Source organism: Homo sapiens, chromosome 5, assembly GCF_000001405.40.
Source record: "Homo sapiens chromosome 5, GRCh38.p14 Primary Assembly".
Classification (NCBI taxonomy): Eukaryota; Metazoa; Chordata; class Mammalia; order Primates; family Hominidae; genus Homo; species Homo sapiens.
This window is the reverse complement of record NC_000005.10, coordinates 41,495,173-41,514,955: the sequence shown is the minus strand read 5'-3', so window position 1 is coordinate 41,514,955 and position 19,783 is coordinate 41,495,173. Positions and strand designations below refer to the sequence as shown.

Genomic DNA, 19,783 nt, shown 5'->3' with positions numbered 1-19,783 from the left:
TATTTCATGTGCATGAGCAAAGTCATGGTGGGAGCAAGAAGCATAAAAGTATAATTTTTAATCTTCCAGTCTGTTCAATAAACTTTAAATTCCTTACTTTATTAAGCTTCATAGCATCTTCCATTTCCCCACCTCCAGGAGAAAATAATCATTCTTTATCCTTCAGAAAAAGATACCAAGAAACGCACAGTAATTGACTGGGGAGACCTGGATTTGAATCACCGCATTCCATAGCTGGTGATTCCAGCCAATAGATTACATTCAGTGAGTGTAAATTAGCTTGTTTAGGGTTGACATATAAAAGGTAGACTAGGGGAGGACAAGAGGGATAAGACAGACAACTCTGCAGGGCTAAACTGGTGGTGGAAAGAGAGGGTCATCACTTTTTTTCTACTCTGAATTTAAGTACAAAAGTATTTTTGTCCTTAAAACACAGAAAAATTCTTTGGGTGGAATACCTACATAAAAGTTGTAGAGAATGGTAAAAAAAAATTTATTATTAATAGTTAATTTCACAAAGGTTCTTTATTGCCCTTTTGGACATGTTTTAAGTCTGACTCTGTAAGTGTTTGTTTTAGAACACTGTGTTTAAAAAAATAATTTGGCAGAATTGTTTTAGAAAAAGTTCCTCTTTTAAAATATTATTTGACAAAAATGTGTTCTAAAGTTTTCTGATCTATAAAAACCCTTGCTTTTCAGAACATAATTCAAAATCAATTCAGTGACAAAAATAAAATATATATCTCCAATGATTAAGAAAGATTATGAACTAATGGAAGAAAATACATAGCAAAGAGTTATGTATTTTTATGGGTGGAAGAGGATATGAAGTGAGAAAATGCTCCAGATGAGTATCCTTGTTCATCAGCTTTGTGTGTTATATGAATTTGATGGACAGCAGAGCATTACACAAACAACTTTTGGTGGTAGCACGAAGCCACTGCAATTGGTCATTTTTCTCTTTTCATTTATGCCTAAAAGCATTTGATTTTCAGAGGCAGGCTACTATTAATGCCGTAACTAAAAACCATTGGTATTTTCTCATCTGTTTTGTGGGGAAAAAAATGTTGGTCTATATCTTGAGCTGTCTGCATGAATTAAAAATTGAAAGTAGGCTGGGCGCGGTGGCTCACGCCTATAATCCCAGCACTTTGGGAGGCCAAGGCCGGCAGATCACGAGGTCAGGAGATCGAGACCATTCTGGCTAACATGGTGAAACCCCGTCTCTACTAAAAATACAAAAAAATTAGCCGGGCGTGTTGGCGGGCACCTGTAGTCCCAGCTACTCAGGAGGCTGAGGCAGGAGAATGACGTGAACCTAGGAGGCGGAGCTTGCAGTGAGTCAAGATCGCACCACTGCTCTCCAGCCTGGAAAAAAAAAAAAGAAAGTAAATATTACATGCCTCCTTTTGCTATTTTGAGCAGCTATATAAATAAGAAAGAATCATAAAAAAATAAAATTATAGAATAATAGAGTCAAAGGGGGCCATAGAGTTTGGCAGTAACTTCTAGTTAATTTGCAAGTGGGTGTGATGGTTTATTTTATATGTCAACTTGGCTAGGCTGTGATGCCCAATTGCTTGGTCAAACACTAGTGTAGATGTTGCTGTGAAGATGTTTGTCAATGTGATTAACATTTATAATCATTTAACTTTGAGTAAAGTGCATTACCTGTTATAATGTGGGTAGGCCTTATTAAATCAGTTGAAGGCCTTAAGAACAAAGACTAAAGCTATCTGAAGCAGCAGCAATTCTGCCTCAAAACTGCAGCATAGAAGTCCTTCCTGAGTTCCTGGCCTGCTGGCCTGCTCTGCAGATTTTGAACTCAAGACTGCAAGAACAATTCTTATCTCATGTTCCAGGCTTCCAGTTTGCCCTACATATATTGAACTTGCCAGCTCTCACAATCATATGAGACAATTTCTCTAAAATAAATCTCTTTCTCTCTATATATATACTACTGGTTCTGTTTCTCTGGAGAACCTTGATTAATCCAGTGACAAAATTAAAGCCCAGAGAAATTACATGATTGTCCCAATGTGTTTTAGTAAGTGGTAGCAGGGTTGGTGATAGAAAGATGGAGAAACTGGGTCATATAATTGCCCAAAATATTGATTATAAGGCTGGGAAAGAAATTCACAACTATCAACTTTCAGGCCTATCTTTTTTCATGGGTTGCATGTAGAAAATGATAATAACTTATATTAAACCAAGACATTTAAAATCCTGAAATGCAAATCAGATGAAACAGAGAAGGGACTGTTAGTTTGTTTTGCCAAAAGATAGTATGATTCTTTATAGAGGGGAACTTTCCTCACCAGTTAAGGTGGTTTCATTTTGTAAAAAATGCTTTGTAAATTTTTAGGGCCACATAAGCTCAATATACTTTAACAGGGCATGTTTCTAAAATGTGTCTTATTAAAAATGTACCCCAGATTCAATAATTATTTCATGCTTTTGAAAAAAATACTTCATAAGTATAGAAAAGACAAAGAGTGGTAAATACACATATCCTGTTATCTTAAACATGTATGCACTCTCTTCTGGAAGCTTCACCACAAATCTCTGAGTTCTTATTACCACTTTATAATGGAGAAAACTGGGGCTAGCAGAGACTAGAGGACTTGCCCAAACTACTCAGAGACAGAGCAGCTGACCACTAGATTTGAATTTTCCTCATTGCCTTGCAATCATGCCCTGAGACCACCAGCATTAGGTGGTGTTTGTAGGTTTCTTACAGAAGGGTGGTGTTTGTAGATCTCTTGACCAAGAGTCCTATAGTAAGCTAAACTATCATCCTAATTAAAAGGATATGTGGGTTCTATTGTACTAGCATGTATATTAAGATTTATTTGGGGAAAATTTTCAGTATATCTCTTCCTCATCACTAAAGATAACTGTACCATGTCCTCTTGAAGGTATGAATTTATTTTACAAGGGGCATGGAAAATTTGATAACCAAAATAAGGCGTTGCCTCTCCTCTATCTTTCCCATAGTGCTCCCCATTTGGGGGTGAATATTCTTAGGACTTAGCATCATTGTAGAAAATAAGGTAGGCTCTAGGTTTTTTCTTATTTTTTAATGCTATTTGGGATTAAATGGATTTACTAACCTTGAATAATTATTCTCATGTTTCATGGCTCTCTTTGTCTCCTATGTTGATTGTCATTTCCGCAATCTAATAGCATTTCCCATAGAAAAATAAAAATTTACACAACCCTGGCATGAAAGAACAGAGGTCTGTTTATTGCATTTCCATTTCCTGGGTTGCAAAAGCCCAGCACACTTTCAGTTCATCTCTTATAATTCCTATTCAGGCCACTGCTGCTCTCATTACATTTGTAAAACTTCATCTCTCTCCTTTTACTCATCTGAGAGCAGGTGGACCCAGACAGTTCTTTGGAGGCCCAGTGAGTGATTTCTCTTGAGAGAGGCACATCTTTCCAGTCTGCAAAGGAATGAAAATGCAGACAGTCACATAGATCACTTTGAATGGTGCCAAATACATTCCACCAAATGCTACTGGCAATAATTAGAGCATGTCACTGGGAGATGTGGCGATTTTCTTCCAGCATAAGGCTCCAGTCTTACCCTGAGTGCCATGAAACTGACAGGACAGAGGCAGTGTTCTCCATGGAAATAATGTAGACTTCTCATGATCTGAGAAAAGAAGGGGGAGTAGCATTTCTTGACTTTGAAATGTCTGGAGCAAGGTACCCAGGATTAAGTAGGAACCACCTAGAATTTACCATGCCCTTCACTGACTCATACTTACCAGCTATTTCACAAAGTAGGCAAAAGAGTGAATAAAGATAATCATTTTTTAATAAACAGGGTTGTGGTCTCTGGCTGAGGAAAGGTATAACCTGTTGTAGATTACAAAAAGGAAAGCTCTTTGATAAGGACGGAAAGCCCTGAAACCCAGCATGAGAAGTCTGTTCCTCAGGAGGCAATAACATCCCAAAGTCTGCTAGGATTTTAGGTTCAAGTGCAAGACTGTCTTTCATACAAACAGGACGAGAAAGTCACAGCAAAGGATCGAGCAAGCCATGGGCAAAGCAGTTGGAAAAAAATGAATAGAAAAGAAAAATAAGAAACCAGGGAAAGCTGCAGAATGGCGAGGAAAGGCAGAGACGCCTAGGAAGGATAAGACGGGAGGAGGGGGTTGGGGAGGGAGGGGAGAGCGGAGAGAGCTGAGCACGGACGTCAGGAACAAAAGCTCCAGCGGAGTCTGGCGGAGGCACTAAGGGAGCACGGGGTGTTTTGAATAATTATTAAAATTAGCATGTGTCTGCGCCATCCTGTGGGTGTGGCGCAGAGAGGAGTGTAAACTCTAGCGGGGCTAGAGCAAACATTGGATTAGCGGCAGCAGCCTGCCAGCCTGCCCGAGGAGTGCTGGGACCAGCGCGCTGCACGCCGACTGGCACGATGGCCTCGTCTCAGGGGAAAAACGAGCTGAAATTAGCCGACTGGATGGCAACTCTGCCGGAGAGCATGCACAGCATCCCCCTCACCAATTTAGCCATTCCAGGTAGGCGCGCAGGGGCTGCGGGCTAGGCGCTCGGCGCCCGCTCCACCTGCCCCGCCCTGCTTTATCTGCCACTAAGTGGTAACTTGCCACGATGCCCGCGGGAGGGAAACTCGTCTTCCAGGGTGGGTCTCAGGCCAGGCGAGCGCGTGCCGGGTAGCCTTGGGCTTCCTGGCGTTTTCCAAACCCCTAAGGACCGAGGCGCTAGAGTCAAGGTGACTGCTTTTCTCCTGGGCTTTTGAAGCAGGTTGTATGCGGAGGACTGGGGCAGAGGAGAAGCTGGGCTCCAGGATGGTGCCTCGTGACCCCCTCCTATGGTTTCTCCTGCAGATTTGGGGAAGTGGGAGAAATCTCTGGGTCTGCGGGGTGACCGTGTGTGAAGAACGCGAGCTAGTGTCAGGGGCTCGCCTTCGGTGCAAGGACCTGAGTCTATCCCTGGCATGGAATTGGGCGGATTTGATAGATTCTCGGCTACAGTCATTAATATTCGTCCCCAATCTCCTTTAAAAAGACAAAGCGCTTCCCGAAGAGTGATGAAAGTTCAGGGACCAGAGGCGGCGTGATAGCTGCCCTTGAAAAGGAGCCCAAGGGGGCGACGGGCAGAGGGCACCATTTCGTATCGGTTTGGACCCCGGGGGACCTGGCCGAGTGGCCGCTGTCTCGAGTCTGGTCCAAGTGCGTGTTGGCAACACACTTCGCCCAGGTCAAAAAAGCAAACCCTTGCGGACCGTATGTTTACTGCTCGGGACAGAAGCTGGGCAGGGGAACCTGCGTGACCTGAGCGGAGGGGTGGGATTAATAGGCAAATAGTACGGAAAAGGTGACTGAGAATGTGTCCAGACAGTCTAGAAGGAAAGAAGCGTGGACAAAGCGAGGAAGAGACCTGAGGGATCAAGAAGCTTCAGCTTGATGTGTGCGACTTGGACCAGAGACTGGGCAGGTTTCTAGGGTGGCAGCTCCTAACAACCCCCTAGATCAGGTATCCAGGAGTGAGGGTCGTTTCAGGACAGTTTACAACAATGACAGCTGGGACACGGCCATACTTTATTGTCAATTTGGCTATGCAGTTGGGCTGGGGGAGCACACACTTGATCTTTTCAGAGCTGGGCTGGAGGGCAAATTACTCATGAACAGTTCACTTCTGGCCCTGAGCTGAGCTGGGCTATTAAACTCAACGTTATGGTCTACCTCCTCTTGATCTGCCCCATCCAGCGCCCCCTCTCAGCTGTTGGAGGAAAACATAATAAAGAAAAAAACAACAAAAACAAAAACAAAAGAAGGGTTATTTTGAAAATCACTAGATGCTCCAACCAAGAGTGCTGCCATTGATCAGTCCCTCAAATCAATGGTTGTTAGTCAAGTGGATGTTTGGCAGCAATGGCAGGCACAGGCTACTACAAGTGCTATCCACAGAAGGGGCTGTCTCCTTTCGTCCTTCTTCAACAGATAGCTTGCTACCGGCCAGGAATCTCCAAGGAAAAGAACCAACCCCAGCTTCTCCATGCAGCACTTATTCTGCTACCTAGGCAAGCCTGGAGATTGCTCTTTTCAAGGAGACAGTAGAAAGCACAACTTTGGCATAACTCCATTCTCACTTCCACAGGCATTCCCATTCCTTTTCTTCCTTCATTTTTATTTGGATTTTAGACAGCTTCTTTCACATGGTTTCCCCTGAATGTTTTTATATGCATAGAAGGTAAGAAGGGCAATCACTGTGATGCAAACCTTCTGGCAGGTGACTCTCTAGAGCTACAGGATTAAAAGCCTATGTTTGTTTATCTAGTTCTGAGATGGTATGATATCTTTTTGAGTCTACCTTACATTTCTGTAATATTTCACTTTTCAAAGCCCTGTTATGTACACCAGCTCACAAAATCCTTCTAAAACCCCATGAAGCAGGGAGTGCTGGCACTATTACCTCCATGTCACAGATGAAAAAACTGAAGCTAAGTGAAGACAAATGACTTACTATTTATCCCTATCAGTTCAGGGATCTGACCCCTTACTTGGACCTTTGGGAAGATACCCTATGAATTTTGGAGGGAAAGGCTTTGTGATTTGTATCTGGATGATTCAGCAGCAACTGTGACTAACCAGGGTTAAGAAAAAAGGAACTAAGCATTAGTGGGAACACAGTAATTTTCCTTTCCTGCCCTGGGACAAAATAAAAACCTGAGGTGAGAGATTTTGGTATCTGGGTGATCTTAGAGTACAGACATAAAGATGATGACATTGGGCTTCCATGGGAATTTATATTGTTTTCCCAGCTCCTGTTGGTATTATACTCAAATGGATCTCCTGTAAAGCTTCCCCTTCTCACTCCAATACTTGTGAGAAAAAATAGACCAACATTTTTCATCAAATCTATACTCCTGAATACTCGCATGTTTCTGTAAATTTGTTTGGAAGATCCACATATATAAAAAACCAGGTTTAAAAACAGGTTTGGCACCTTTTTGCATTACTCAGCACTAAGAATTTTTGGAGGAAAAAAAGATATTCAAACTTTGATAGTCAGAGAAGACTAATTGGAGACTATTAAACACTAATGGAATAATTGCCTTAAAATCATGCTAATAGCTTCCTGGCTGCTACATGTTTACTTGGCCAGTTGCTACAGCTCAAATTAAGTAATTATCTCCATCATTTAAAACCACTCCTGGTGCACCACACAAGTGTTTCTGTTGAGGGAAACTGCTGCTCAGTCATCCTCAAAGCTTCAGGTTGTCTTAGGTAAAGCGGCTGGAAAATAAAGAGCTGCCTAATTATAAGGCTACCCAACTGGGGCAGCTGACCCAGATTGCCCAGAGTTACAGCAAAAAACAATGTGCAACTGTGTGATATTCCCCACCAGAGCACAGTTCCGGTGTCTTTAAATATTTCTCAAATCTCTGCAGTTTGAATGGTTTCAGAGTAATCTCGCAATAGCTGTTTGGCATTTAAATGGCTTCATGATATGATATTGACTGGGCTGAGGAATTAAGTTAGTAATTGGTATTAGTATTTCACTTTCAATTTATTTTTTAAAGAAATGACACAGCCAGAACACATTGACAGTTACTCCAATTTCAGCCTTGTTTATTATTTCCTTCTCTCTCTGATGGCCCTAAACTTAAGTTTTAATTCGTGCATATTTGTTGAATACTGGCATTTTGGATTATGAATGATACTGCCCTTCACTATAAGCAGGTGAGAGAGGATAAACAGAGATGAAAGCAGGAAGACAAAGTATAAAATTTAGGTAAAAGTGAGACTGATGAAAATTCAGTTTCTCTGAAACAGAGTTCTAACTCTGTAATCATGGTGGCTCCAGAACTATTGTAAAGAGATGCATCATGGGAACACATAAGGTGCTGGTAATCTGCATGTGTGACAGAGAGTCATTCTGTCCAAAATCTAAAAGATTGGGAAGGGTTTAGCCCATGGGAGGGGTCTGCTTTGCATTCTCTAATATGTAAAAATCTTTTTCATATAGTGTAGCAAACTGACCATGAAATAATAAAATATTGGCCACAATGTTGTGGGACTGGAAACTCAGAAAGAATCCATGTTTTCTTCAACAGGGAATTGTTGACTGTACTTTTTAGATAAGGAACACAGAAACGCTTTATAAATCAATGATTGTGCCTGTGAATTTTGTTCATTTCCTTTAGAAAATGCAAACACCAATGAAAAACAACAGGTTCACTAAGGGAAGCTAAGTGTTTAAACAGCTCTGAGTCTCTGTTCTTGTGTCTGACCTACTAGTTTTTAATTTCTTCCCCTAACAGTCATCCCTTTTTGTTGCTGCCTGTGTTCCTGGAGCCAACCATCTTCCTCCTCTTTGTAATTTCCTATTTCTATTTTACTTGGAAGGAGTCAATGTCTAGGATGTATCTGGGACTGGGTCTAATTGTGCAAATTTCTAAAGAACAAAACAAGAGCAGTTCTCACCTCCTACCCCATTTATTAGTGGATAGTGATACAGAAGTGAATCTTTCAAGACAGTAAAAAAGCAACAACATTGTTTAGGATGAATATCTCTCTTGTTCTGCCTCTCTAATTCTCAGTTTTGTTTTTGGTTTTGCGAACAAGGAAAAATTGAACAGTATCTGAAACATAATTTGTTCTACTAGGACTTTTCTTGATGAATCAAATCCTCGACTATTGTTATTCAATGTAAAGTGTTATATATGCTATTTTACCATTCACAAAGTGTCTTCCTATGCACACATATGCTTTTCCCACATTCTAACAATAATCTTCTAAGGCCTTGGGACTCAGAGTTGGTTCAGGGACCAACATCATCAGCATACATGTGGGCTTGGTAGAAATGCTGCATCTCAGACTCTGCACATCACACATCAGATCTATTTAATTACAATCTACATTTTAACACAATCCCTAGATGATTTATATACACATTTAAAGTTTGAGAAAACTGCTTTAGTGTATCTCTAAAGAGGGCTTTTATGTAAATGTCAGAGGCAAATTTAAATATACATTTTTTACTAGGCCCTTTCTATTGCACCATGCAGTCTATACATGTTTCCAATTTTATAATCAGGCTTAAAGCCAGAACACCATATTTGACTCAAAGCTAATTGCCCAAGTTAGGGACATTTCTGATAACTGACATTACAGGTCATCATGTACCTTGAGCAATAAATGTGACTTAATTGCTACTTAACTGTTCACATTAGGTCACTGTGATAAATGTAAAACCTTTCCCCTCATTTCCTTAAAGTCCTGCTGCTTCTTATTGGCCATCGATAGCACTTAAAATCAGCTCATCTGGTAATGCTAGTGATCTCTAATGCCAGTTTAGGAAACATCTCTATATTGGTTCTTTGTCCATTTAAGTCACTCTTTGTGGTGCACAGGACCAGCTCCTTCTGTTATAAGTTGCAGGTTGATTCATTTTATTTATAAGCTAGAACTTTGCAATATTGTTATCGAGCAAAAGTGGCATCATGAAATAATGCAAAATGTAGCATCAGAAAGCCATCAAAAGCATCAACATCAAAGGTAAACAGTAAATTGGTTTTCAATAGAAAATGACCTATCTTGTTTGTATTTGCAAGTCACATCTCATTTATTTGAAGCATAGCTTACATGGAGTACAAGCATATATAACAGTTTATAATCCACTAGATTGAATGTCAGTTGTTTGATACTATAATTGTTCTAAAATAGTTAAACTTCACACACACACACACATGCACACACACTCACACACAGCTCTCCAATTGCTTAAATGGATACCACAATGTTCATACGTTAAGGCCCATAAGCTTTACTCGTGTAAAAATTTATTATACCCTGACTTAGAGTTTATTTACTCATATTTAATTCCAACTCCACCCAATGAGAACAGAAAGAGCAAATTATAAAGAAGATGAAAACTGTTGAGTGCCATAAATCAGTAATGAAAATAGGGAATATTTATGAGGGAAGACTAACAAATGGAGATACACTGACACAAAACATAGTGTTCTCTACACTTTACCAGTCCAAAAGTAAAATCAGAGTCATAGCAACTGTCAGTTCTTCAACTCCTCCCAAATACCTCCTTAACGAACTTCCAAATAGTTCTAAAAATCTGGATGGATTCTTAAGTATGATCTATAAGCCAGTCATTTGGGCTGGATTGATAAACTAGTCCTCTGGGCTACAACATGGTATCTGCCATTTTCCTTCTTTCCTGTTTTGGGAAAGCTTTGGAGAGTTGTCACCTTTGCTCCTTTGACATATAGAGAAACTGTGCTTCCATAGTTTTATCCCCAAAATATCACTAGTATTACTAATAGCTCCTCCAGAGCTTATTCTGTGTCTGCAGAGGCCCAACATTGAGCATGTTAATGTCTAACAAGAGTCAAAGGCTCCCAGAGCTTGGTCACCCATTGTGGAAGCTGCTGATGCCAACATCTCCTATTGCTGACTCTGCCATCACTGCTGAAGCCCTGAGTGCTGGCACTGCCAAAACCAGGCATCTTTTTGCCTGGTTTATATTGATTATTTTGTTGTTGCTCCATTGCTCGGGGACTAAGGTATGATTTTATGTGGCTGGGCAGAGGAAAATATGTGGGACAAATTTTATCCTATACTCTGCATTATGCTCAATGTTAGCTCACTCTCTGCATCTGCACCTATGTGTTTGTATTGACTTCCTCTTAAAAAAACTTCTTTTTCAGGAATCTTCTTGATTTTTCCTATAAGTAAACTTCCAGTGGGTGCAATGTAATCATTCCTTTAGACAAATCTAGAGTGGAAACACAGCTAGGGTCTATATTTTTCCCACTGAGCAGGCTGGGATAATGTAAACAGAGCCAATTAATCCCATATCCCTAAAGTAATCCCTAAGGGCTCCATTGTATGAAAGCACATTAGTAGCTAATTGATGTGCTCTGACCCATCAAGAAAAGGTTAAATCAGTCACACACACACACACACACACACAAGTGCACACACACACACACACATTTTAATTCCTGTTGCTTAAAGGGGAAAGCTGTGTTTTCTGGAAAATTTAACTATTACCACCAGTGAGGATGCCTCTTGCCCAAAAATATTAGTTTTTGGAAACCAGAGAACATGCCACCATGATGAGCACTCAAGGAAGTCCTAGACGTAGTCATTGAAATTAATGTCCTCAAGAAGTTTATAGACTCCTCTCATGTCTTCTGGTTTGTATAGGGTTCAAATCAATCTTAGGAGAGTGGGGACCAAAAAATTGTCTATATCATATATTCCAGAAGGAAGGGAAAAGTGAGTGAAAAATTTAATCATGGTTCAGGTGGAATTTTGCTGCCAGAAGCTTTTTACAGCACCATATGTTTTTATTATGCTCTATTAAGACAGGAAGATAGGTCAGTAACAGAGGGGTAGGAGGAGATGGTTAAATATTCTTGCTAAGCAGCCAGGATTAGTCACCTCCGGAGGTCAGGTACTGAAACAGATGGCCCATGGATCTGTTAGATGCACTCTTGTTATGTTCCTATATTTCATTACAGATCCTGGAAGTGGACAGCTCTTACAACACTCTATCTTAAATGCGAGCTAATGTTATGTTTTACATAGAATTATTTCTGTGAGTTAATTTTTATGAAGCAGTCACATTTATCCATAATTATCATTATAAATGAAAATTTGGTTCCTTCATTCACTTGAAAAATTTTTATTTCATGAGGCAAAGTGGATTATGATAAATGGTCATATTAATTTCCTGCTATGCTTTCCTGGAACTCCCCTATGGCTTGTTAGCTAGTGGAGAGAAAGTGGACTGCACTTGCAGTCCTAGTGGGCAGATAGGACTTATCTTCAATGCATGTCTCAGGCTATACACCCATGCTGCCATTTAGAGGAGGAAGAAGAGTAGGAGGAAGATAACCATAGCTGCCTTAGAGGGAAGTTAGCCCTAAACACACACCTATGTGACCCGTCCTGGCCCTTTCTCAAGAAAAGAAAGGTTGTCAGGGGATGTAAAGCTCCTGCCATGAATGCTGCTAGAGAAGAAGGCTGCAGAATGTGAAGTTTTGTTTAGTCTTCATCACCCTTTCATGTCCTCATTTCTCTGCTGATAAAGCCAAATTTCTTGGTCCAGCATGAGATTCACACCTTTGGAGATGATCTTAATGTTCTCGTCTCACTTTTTCTGTCCTACGTACCTGGAAAACCCCAATTCAGTTAAACTCAACTTTCTAACTATTCAGATCCCAGAAAACTTCAATGGATGAACATTGTTGGAGAGAAATTACGCGGTTTGGGTGACTGGACTCACTGGAAATTTCTGACCATAAATTTTAAATGGGTGTTCAATACAGGCAGAGAGACTTACTACACTTCCTTAGTAAATTCATTTCTTGTTCTCTAAGATGAGAATTTTTTACCTCTTCTTGATTCTCAAATCAACACCTTCTTCCTACTTCATCTGTACTGATTACATCACATCTTATTTTATATTAAAGAAAGGGCTCCATTGTATTAAAGCACATTAACAGTTAATTGATGTGCTCTGACCCATCAAGAAAAGGTTAAATCACACACACCGCACACATACACATACACACAGACACATAATTTTATCCTATTAATTACTCTTTCCCACCTCACCTAAACTGATTACTTCACCTCTGATTTTATATTTAAAAACTTGATGCAAACAGACAAGATCTTCCTCAGTTTCCCACCATTGAACCCACAATGCATCTATTTCTTATACTTTGGATTTCCTTTAAATAAGAGGAAGATCTAGACCTGCTCATACATAAGCTAAGTTTTTCCACTTGTGTTCTGGATCCCATCCACTCAAATCTGTTCAAAGCTTACTTTTGAATTTATCCACTCTCTCTTTCCTGTGTCATCAGTTTTCTCCACCTCTATGGGATCATTCCAGTCAGCACACAAATATATGTAATAATGCTCCTTGCAAAAAAAAATTTGTTACCACACCTGCCTCTCAATCAGTAAACTATTTCTCTTATTCTTGTAAAAATATCTTCCCTACCTTCAGGTTGTTATATCTCTTTCTCTTCCTAGTCCATACTAATCTCATTTCCCCATCACTTCCCTAAAATTGTTCTTATCAAGGTAGCCAATGATCTGTATTTTGCCAAAGGTAATGGTTAATTCTCTATCATCTTATTTGACATTTCAGCAACATTGATGTGGTTCGCCACACCTCTCTTCGTGAAACATGTTCTTCCTTTGGCTTCTTAGCACACCTTATTTTTTTTATTGTGGTAAAAACTATGACATCCATAACGTGAAATTTACTATCTTAAAATTTTAAGTATATAATACAGTGTTGCTACCTGTAAGTACAATATTGCACAGCAGACCTCTAGAACTTTTTCATCTTGCATGACTAAAACTTGATACCTGTTGAATAGAAACTTCCCTTTTCCCCCTCTTTCCCAGCCTCTGGCAACCAGCATTCCACTCTCTGCTTCAGTGAGTTTGACTATTAGATACCTCATCTAAGTGGAATCATGCAGTATTTGTCCTTTTGTGACTGGTTTATTTCAGTTCGCATAATGTCTTCAAGGTTTACCCATGTGGTAGCATATGACAGGATTTTCTTCTTTTTATGACTGAATAATAGTACATTTGTATGTATATACCATATTTATTAATCCATTCATCCATTGATATACATTTTGATTGTGAACGATACTGAAGCTTATTGCAATGAGAATAGAGATCTCGATTCAAGATCTCAATTTCATTTCTTTTGGATAAATACCCCAAAGTGGGACTGTTGGATCATGTGGTAGTTCTATCTTTAAAATTTCGACGTAATTCCATTCTGTTCTCCATAGAGGCTGCACAATTTTACACTTCCACCAACAGTGTACAAGAATTGCAATTTCTATACATCCTTGCTAACACATTATTTTATATATTTTTGATAGTAACCATCCTAACAGGTATTAGGTGATATCTTACCGTGGTTTTGATTTTCATTTCCCTGGTGATTAGTGATTTTGAGCACTCTTTCATACCTCTTAGCTATTTCATGTCTTCTTTAGAGAAATGTCTATACTTGTTCTTTGTATAGTTTTAATAAGGTTATTTAGTTTTTGCTATCGAGTTGTAGGAATTCCTTATATATTTTTGGAAATTAACCCCTTATCATATATATGATTTGCAAGTATTTTCTCCTATTTCATTCTGTTGATTATTTCTTTTCCTGCAGAGAGGCTTTTTAGTTAGATGTAGTTCCACTTGTTTATTTTTGCTTTTGGTGCCTGTGGCTTTGATTTCATATCCAAAAACTCATTGCCAAACCCAACTTCATAAAGCTTTCCCCCTACATTTTCTTCCAGGAGTTTTACAGTTTCAGGTCTTAGGTTTAAGTTGCGTGTTTGTGTGTGTGTGTGTGCATATAATATATATGTTTAGGGGATAAATGTGCATAGATTGCATAATAGTCAAGTCAGGCTTTTAGGGTATCTGTCACTCAAATAATATACATTGTACCCATTAATTTCTCATTATCTCTCCCTTTTTATCCCCTCACCCTTCTGAGTATCCATTGTCTATTATTCCACTCGCTACATTCGTATGTACATGTATTTTAGCATCCACTTATGAGTGAGCACATGCAATATTTGTCTTTCTGTGTCTGGCTTGTTTCACTTACGATAATGTGACCTCTACTTCCATTCATGTTGCTGCAAAAGAAGCGACCTTATTATTTTTTGTGGCTGAATATTATAGTATTCTATTGTGTATACATGCCACATTTTCTTTATCCAATCATCTATTGTTGGGCACTAAGTTTGATTCCATATCTTTGCTATTATGAATAGTGCGGAGATAAACATATGAGTGCAGGTGTTTTTTTGATGTATTGAATTCTTTTCATTTGGGTAGATGACCAGTATGGGATTGCTGGATCAAATGGAAGTTCTATTTTTAGTTCTTTGAGAAATAGCCATACTATTTCCCATAGAGGCTGTACTAATTTACATACATATGTCATAAGATAAGGACTCAAAATCATTATTTCTCATGTGGATATCTAGTTTCCCAACATCTTTATCAAAGAGACTATCCTTTCCCCATTGTGTATTCTTAGTATTTTGTCAAAGATAAGTTAATGGTATATGTGAGGTTTTATTTCTGGTCTCTATTCTGTTTTATTGGTCTATATGTTGGTCTTTATGCCAGAACTATACTGTTTTGATTACTGTGCTTTGTAGTATGTTTTCATATCAGAAGGTGTGAGGCCTCCAGCTTTGTTTTTCTTTCTCAAAATTATGAGGGTTTTTGGAGTCCTATGTGGTTCCGTATAAATTTAGGATTATTTTTTCTCTTTCTGTGAAAGGCCAGCAGGTTTTGATAAAGATTGCATTGAATCTATAGATTCCTTTGGGGAGTGGTAACATTTGAGCAATATTAAGTCTTCCAGTCCATGAACGTATGATGACTTTTCATTTGTTTGCGTGTTCTTTAATTTCTTTCTGCAACGTTTTGCAATTTTCAGTGAAATCTTTTGTCTCCTTTGTTAAGTTTATTCCAAAGTATTTTGTTCCTTTTGATAATATTGTAAGTGGGATTGTTTTCTTAATTTTCTTTTCAGACTGCTCATTTTTAGTGTATAAAAACACAACTGATTTTTAATGTTGATTTTGTATTCTGCAATGTACTAGATTTGCTTAATTCTAACAAATTTATTTATTTATTGGAATCTAGTTTTTTACATATAAAATGTTATCTACAGAGATAATTTTGCTACTTCCTTTTCTATTTAGATACATTTTCTTTCTTTTTTGTTTTTTCTAACCTAACTGCTCTCACTAGGGTGTATAGTATTATGTTAAATACAAGCAGTAAGAATGGCCATCCTTGCCTTCTTCCTGGTCTTAGAGGGAAAGCCTTAAACTTTCACTATTGAGTATGACTATGGGCTTGTCATATGTGGCTTTTATTGTGTCAAGGTATATTTCTCTTATATCTAATTTGTTGAGCGTTTTTTATCATGAAAAGATGTTGAATTTTATCAAATGCTTCTCCTGCATCTATTGATATGATCATGTTATTTTTATCCTTCATTCTGTTTACATGGTATATCACATTAATTGATTTTTATATGTTGAATCATCTTTACCTCCAATGGATAAATCCCACTTAATCGTGGTGTATGATTCTTCTAATGTGCTGTTGAACTCGGTTTGCTAGTATTTTATTGAGGATTTATTCATTTATGTTTATTAGGGATATTGGTCTATAGTGTTCTCTCCTTGTAGTGTCTTTGTCTGCCTTTGGTATCAGTGTAATGCTGATCTCACAGAATGAATTTGGAAGTGTACACTTCTCTTCAGTTTTTTTGGAAGAGTGTGAGAAGAATTGGCATTAATTCTAATAGAATTCACCTTTAAACCATCTGGTTCTGGGCTTTTCTTTGTTGAGAGATTTTAGCAACTGAATCAATCTCCTTACTATTATAGGGTTGTTCACATTTTCTATTTCCTCATGATTCAGTCTCAACAGGTTGTATGTTTCTAAGAATTTATTCATTTCCTCTGGTTTATCCCATTTTTTTGGTATATAATTGTTTATAGTAGCATCTTATAATCCTTTATGTGGAATTAGTTGTAATGTCTTCTCTTTCAATTTTGATTTTGTTTATTTGAGTGTTCTCTCTTTCTTTCTTTAGCTAAATGTCACTTATGTTTATCTTTTCAAAAAATTCCTAGGGTTGTTGATTTTTTCTATTGCTGTTTCTATTCTCTATTTTATTTATTTCTGCTCTAATCTTTATGATTTCCTTAATTCTACTAAATTTTGTCTTAGATTGCCATTCTTTTTCTAATTCCTTGAGGTATAGAATTAGGTTAAGGTTTTTATCTTTTTTAATATAGGCATTTATTACTGTAAATCTCTCGGTACTGCTTTTGCTGCATTTCATACGTTTTGGAATGTTGTGTTTTCATCTCATCTTTTTTGTCTCAAGATAATTTTTTAAAATTCCCTTTTGATTTCTTGTTTGACCAATTGGTTGTTAAAGGATGCATTGTTTAATTTCCACACATTTGTGAGTTTTCCAGCTTTCCTTCTGATATTGATTTCTAGTTGTGGTTGAAGAAGATACTTGAAGAAGATACTTGAAGGATACTTGGTATAATTTCAATACTCTTAAATTTGTTAAGATTTGTTTTGGGGCCTATCGTGTGATCAACCTTGGAGAACATTCCATGTGTGCTTGAGAAGAATGTGTATTCTGCTGTTGTTAAATGAAATGTTCTGTATATGTTTGTTAGGTTCATTTTGTCTAAACTGTAGTTGAAGTCCAATTCCTTCATGATTTTCTGTCTGGATGATTAATCCAGTATTAAATGTGGGATATTAAATTTTTTCCTATTACTGTATGTTGCCTATCTCTTCCTTCAGTTCTGTCACTGCTTTATATATTTGGGTGTTCTGATATTGGGTGTGCATATATTTATAATTGCTTTATCTTCCTGGTTGACTTGACTCATCCAATTATATCATCATATAATGCCCTTCTTTGTCTCTTGCAGCAATATTTGACTTAAAATCTATTTTGTCTGATATAAATATGGCCATTCCATTCTCTTTTGGTTACCATTTGCCTGGAATATATTTTTCTATTCACTTTCAGCCTATGTATGTTCTCAAGTCTAAAGCAAGTCTTGTAGACAGCACATATGTCTTATGAATTGTTATTCTTGCTATTTAATTACATTTTTAAAAAATTGTATAGTAAAAGACTTACTATTGCTGTCTTGTTAGTTATGTTTTTCTTATTGTCTTTTGACTTTTTCATACCTTTTTTTCACCATTGTTATCTTTATTTGGGTTTATTGATTTATTTTTGTAGTAATACTCTGATTTTTTTTTCTTCTTTTCTTGTATCTTCTGTAGATTTTTTCTTCGTGGCTACCATTAGTTTTACATGAAATATCTTACAACACATTATTTAAATTAAAAAATAACTTAAATCACATACAAAAACCCCTACTTCTCCCTCCACATACTTTATGTTACCAATGTCATAAGTTATATTTTTCATATTTTCTATCCTTTAATATATTTTTCTAGCTATAAGTTATTTTTAACATTCTTGTCTTTTAACTCTTATACCTGAATTGAAAATGATTTACATATCATTATAGTATTATAGTATTCTGTATTTATCTCTATATTTATCTTTACCATTAAGTTACATAGTTACCTACGCTTTTACATTATTATTTAACATATTTTCATTTCAACTTAATGGAATCCCTTTAGCATTTCTTGTAAGGTAGGTCTAATGGTGATAAACTTTCTAGGCTTTTTTTTTTTTTTTTGGTCTGGGAAAAGCTTTACCTTTCCTTTATGTTTAAAAGACAGTTTTGTCAGATATTGTGCTCTCGGTTGGTTGTTATTATTCTACTTCCTTCTGTCTCACAATTTTTCTGCTGAGAAATCTACTTATAGTCTGGAATTTTCCTTGTATGTGACTAGTCACTTTTCTCCTGTTATTTTAAAAATTCCTTCTTTGTCTTTGATTTTGGCAATTTTATTATAATTTGTCTTGGTATTGACTTATTTGAGTTCCTCAGATTTGGGCTTCTTGAATCTGAAAGCCTATTTCTTTCCTCATATTTGGGAAGTTTTGGCCATTATTCCTTTAAATAAGCTTTCTTTCCCCTTTGTTTCTCATTTCTCCTCTTTAAAATTTCATAATGTGTATATTGGTCTGCTTAATTATTTTCCATAAATCCTTAAGGATTTCTTCTGTTTTATTCTTTTTTCTTTTTGTTCCTCTGACTGGATAATTTCGAATGATCTATCCTCAAGTTAGCAATATTTTTCTGCTTGATCAAGTCTGCTCTTGAATATCTCCAGTGGATTTTTTCAGTTCAGTTATTGCATTCTTCAGCTCCAAAATTTCTGTTATTTTAAAATATTTTCTGTTTGATGAAGTTTTTATTTTTTGTATATATTGTTGTCCTGAACTAATGACAACTTTATGATGGTTATTTTTAATTATTTGTCAGGTAATTCACATATCTCTGTTTCTTTGAGGTTGGTTTCTAGAAACTTATTTTATTCCTTTGACTTGATTATTTTCTCATTTATTCATATTTCTTGTACCTTTGTGTTGGTATTTATGCACTTGAAAAAAATCCACCTCTCATAATCTTTATAAACTGGATTTGTAAAGGGAAAGGCATTCATCAATCAGCCCAACTAGGGATTCTGGAAGACTCTCAAACCTTCTCTGTGATGTGTCTTCTCTAGGCCTGTGCATATAGATTTCTAATTAGAAAGATTTATTAGATTTTTTCAGGAGCTTTTAATGAATGATGCCTGACTGATGCCTGACTGCTGTACTGTGAGTCCTCTGAAGAAGCAGCACACCACCTGCTATTTTATATTCTCAGAGCTTCCCAGGCATCTAGAATATGCCAGGTCCTATCAGTCCCCAAAGCCAGGATATTCAGAAACTAACCCCTTGGGTATCCCATCAAAAAGCAAGAAATTGGATGCATACTTTACTTTTCCCTTTCCTTCCTGAGGGAGAGGCTGCTGAACTGTGTCGGCTTCTGTCAGCTTACCTCAGGCCCTCTGGAGGGGCAGCAAGTTGCCCAAAAATTTTGTTTTCAGTGACCACCAGACATTTAGAATACTCTGGGTCTCATTAGCTCTCTTCTACAGGTGAGACAAAAGCCAGTCCCTTAGGCAGGCTTCTCCAAAAGTCAGAATGTTGGACGTGCAGTCTAGTCTCCTCTTTCTCTCCCTACGGAGAATCTGGGAGC

The 19,783-nt window shown here is 37.6% G+C and overlaps 1 protein-coding gene across 1 annotated transcript in view, besides 1 other annotated feature; it reads left to right on the top strand.

Annotated features, from left to right (window-relative positions):
• Nucleotides 4,001-4,829: an enhancer, noted in NCBI's record as "H3K4me1 hESC enhancer chr5:41510229-41511057 (GRCh37/hg19 assembly coordinates)". NCBI's record gives its function as "activates a minimal SCP1, AML or CMV promoter by ChIP-STARR-seq in naive H9 embryonic stem cells {active_cell/tissue: H9 hESC(naive)}" and the evidence as "EXISTENCE:reporter gene assay evidence [ECO:0000049][PMID:30033119]".
• The window catches only part of PLCXD3 (phosphatidylinositol specific phospholipase C X domain containing 3), a 203,650-nt gene continuing 188,221 nt past the window's right edge, over nt 4,355-19,783 (top strand). Inside the window, exon 1 of the mRNA NM_001005473.3 lies at nt 4,355-4,532. Coding sequence (NP_001005473.1) covers nt 4,430-4,532 — 103 coding nt within the window. The 5' untranslated portion in view covers nt 4,355-4,429. The remainder of the gene's footprint in view (nt 4,533-19,783) is intronic.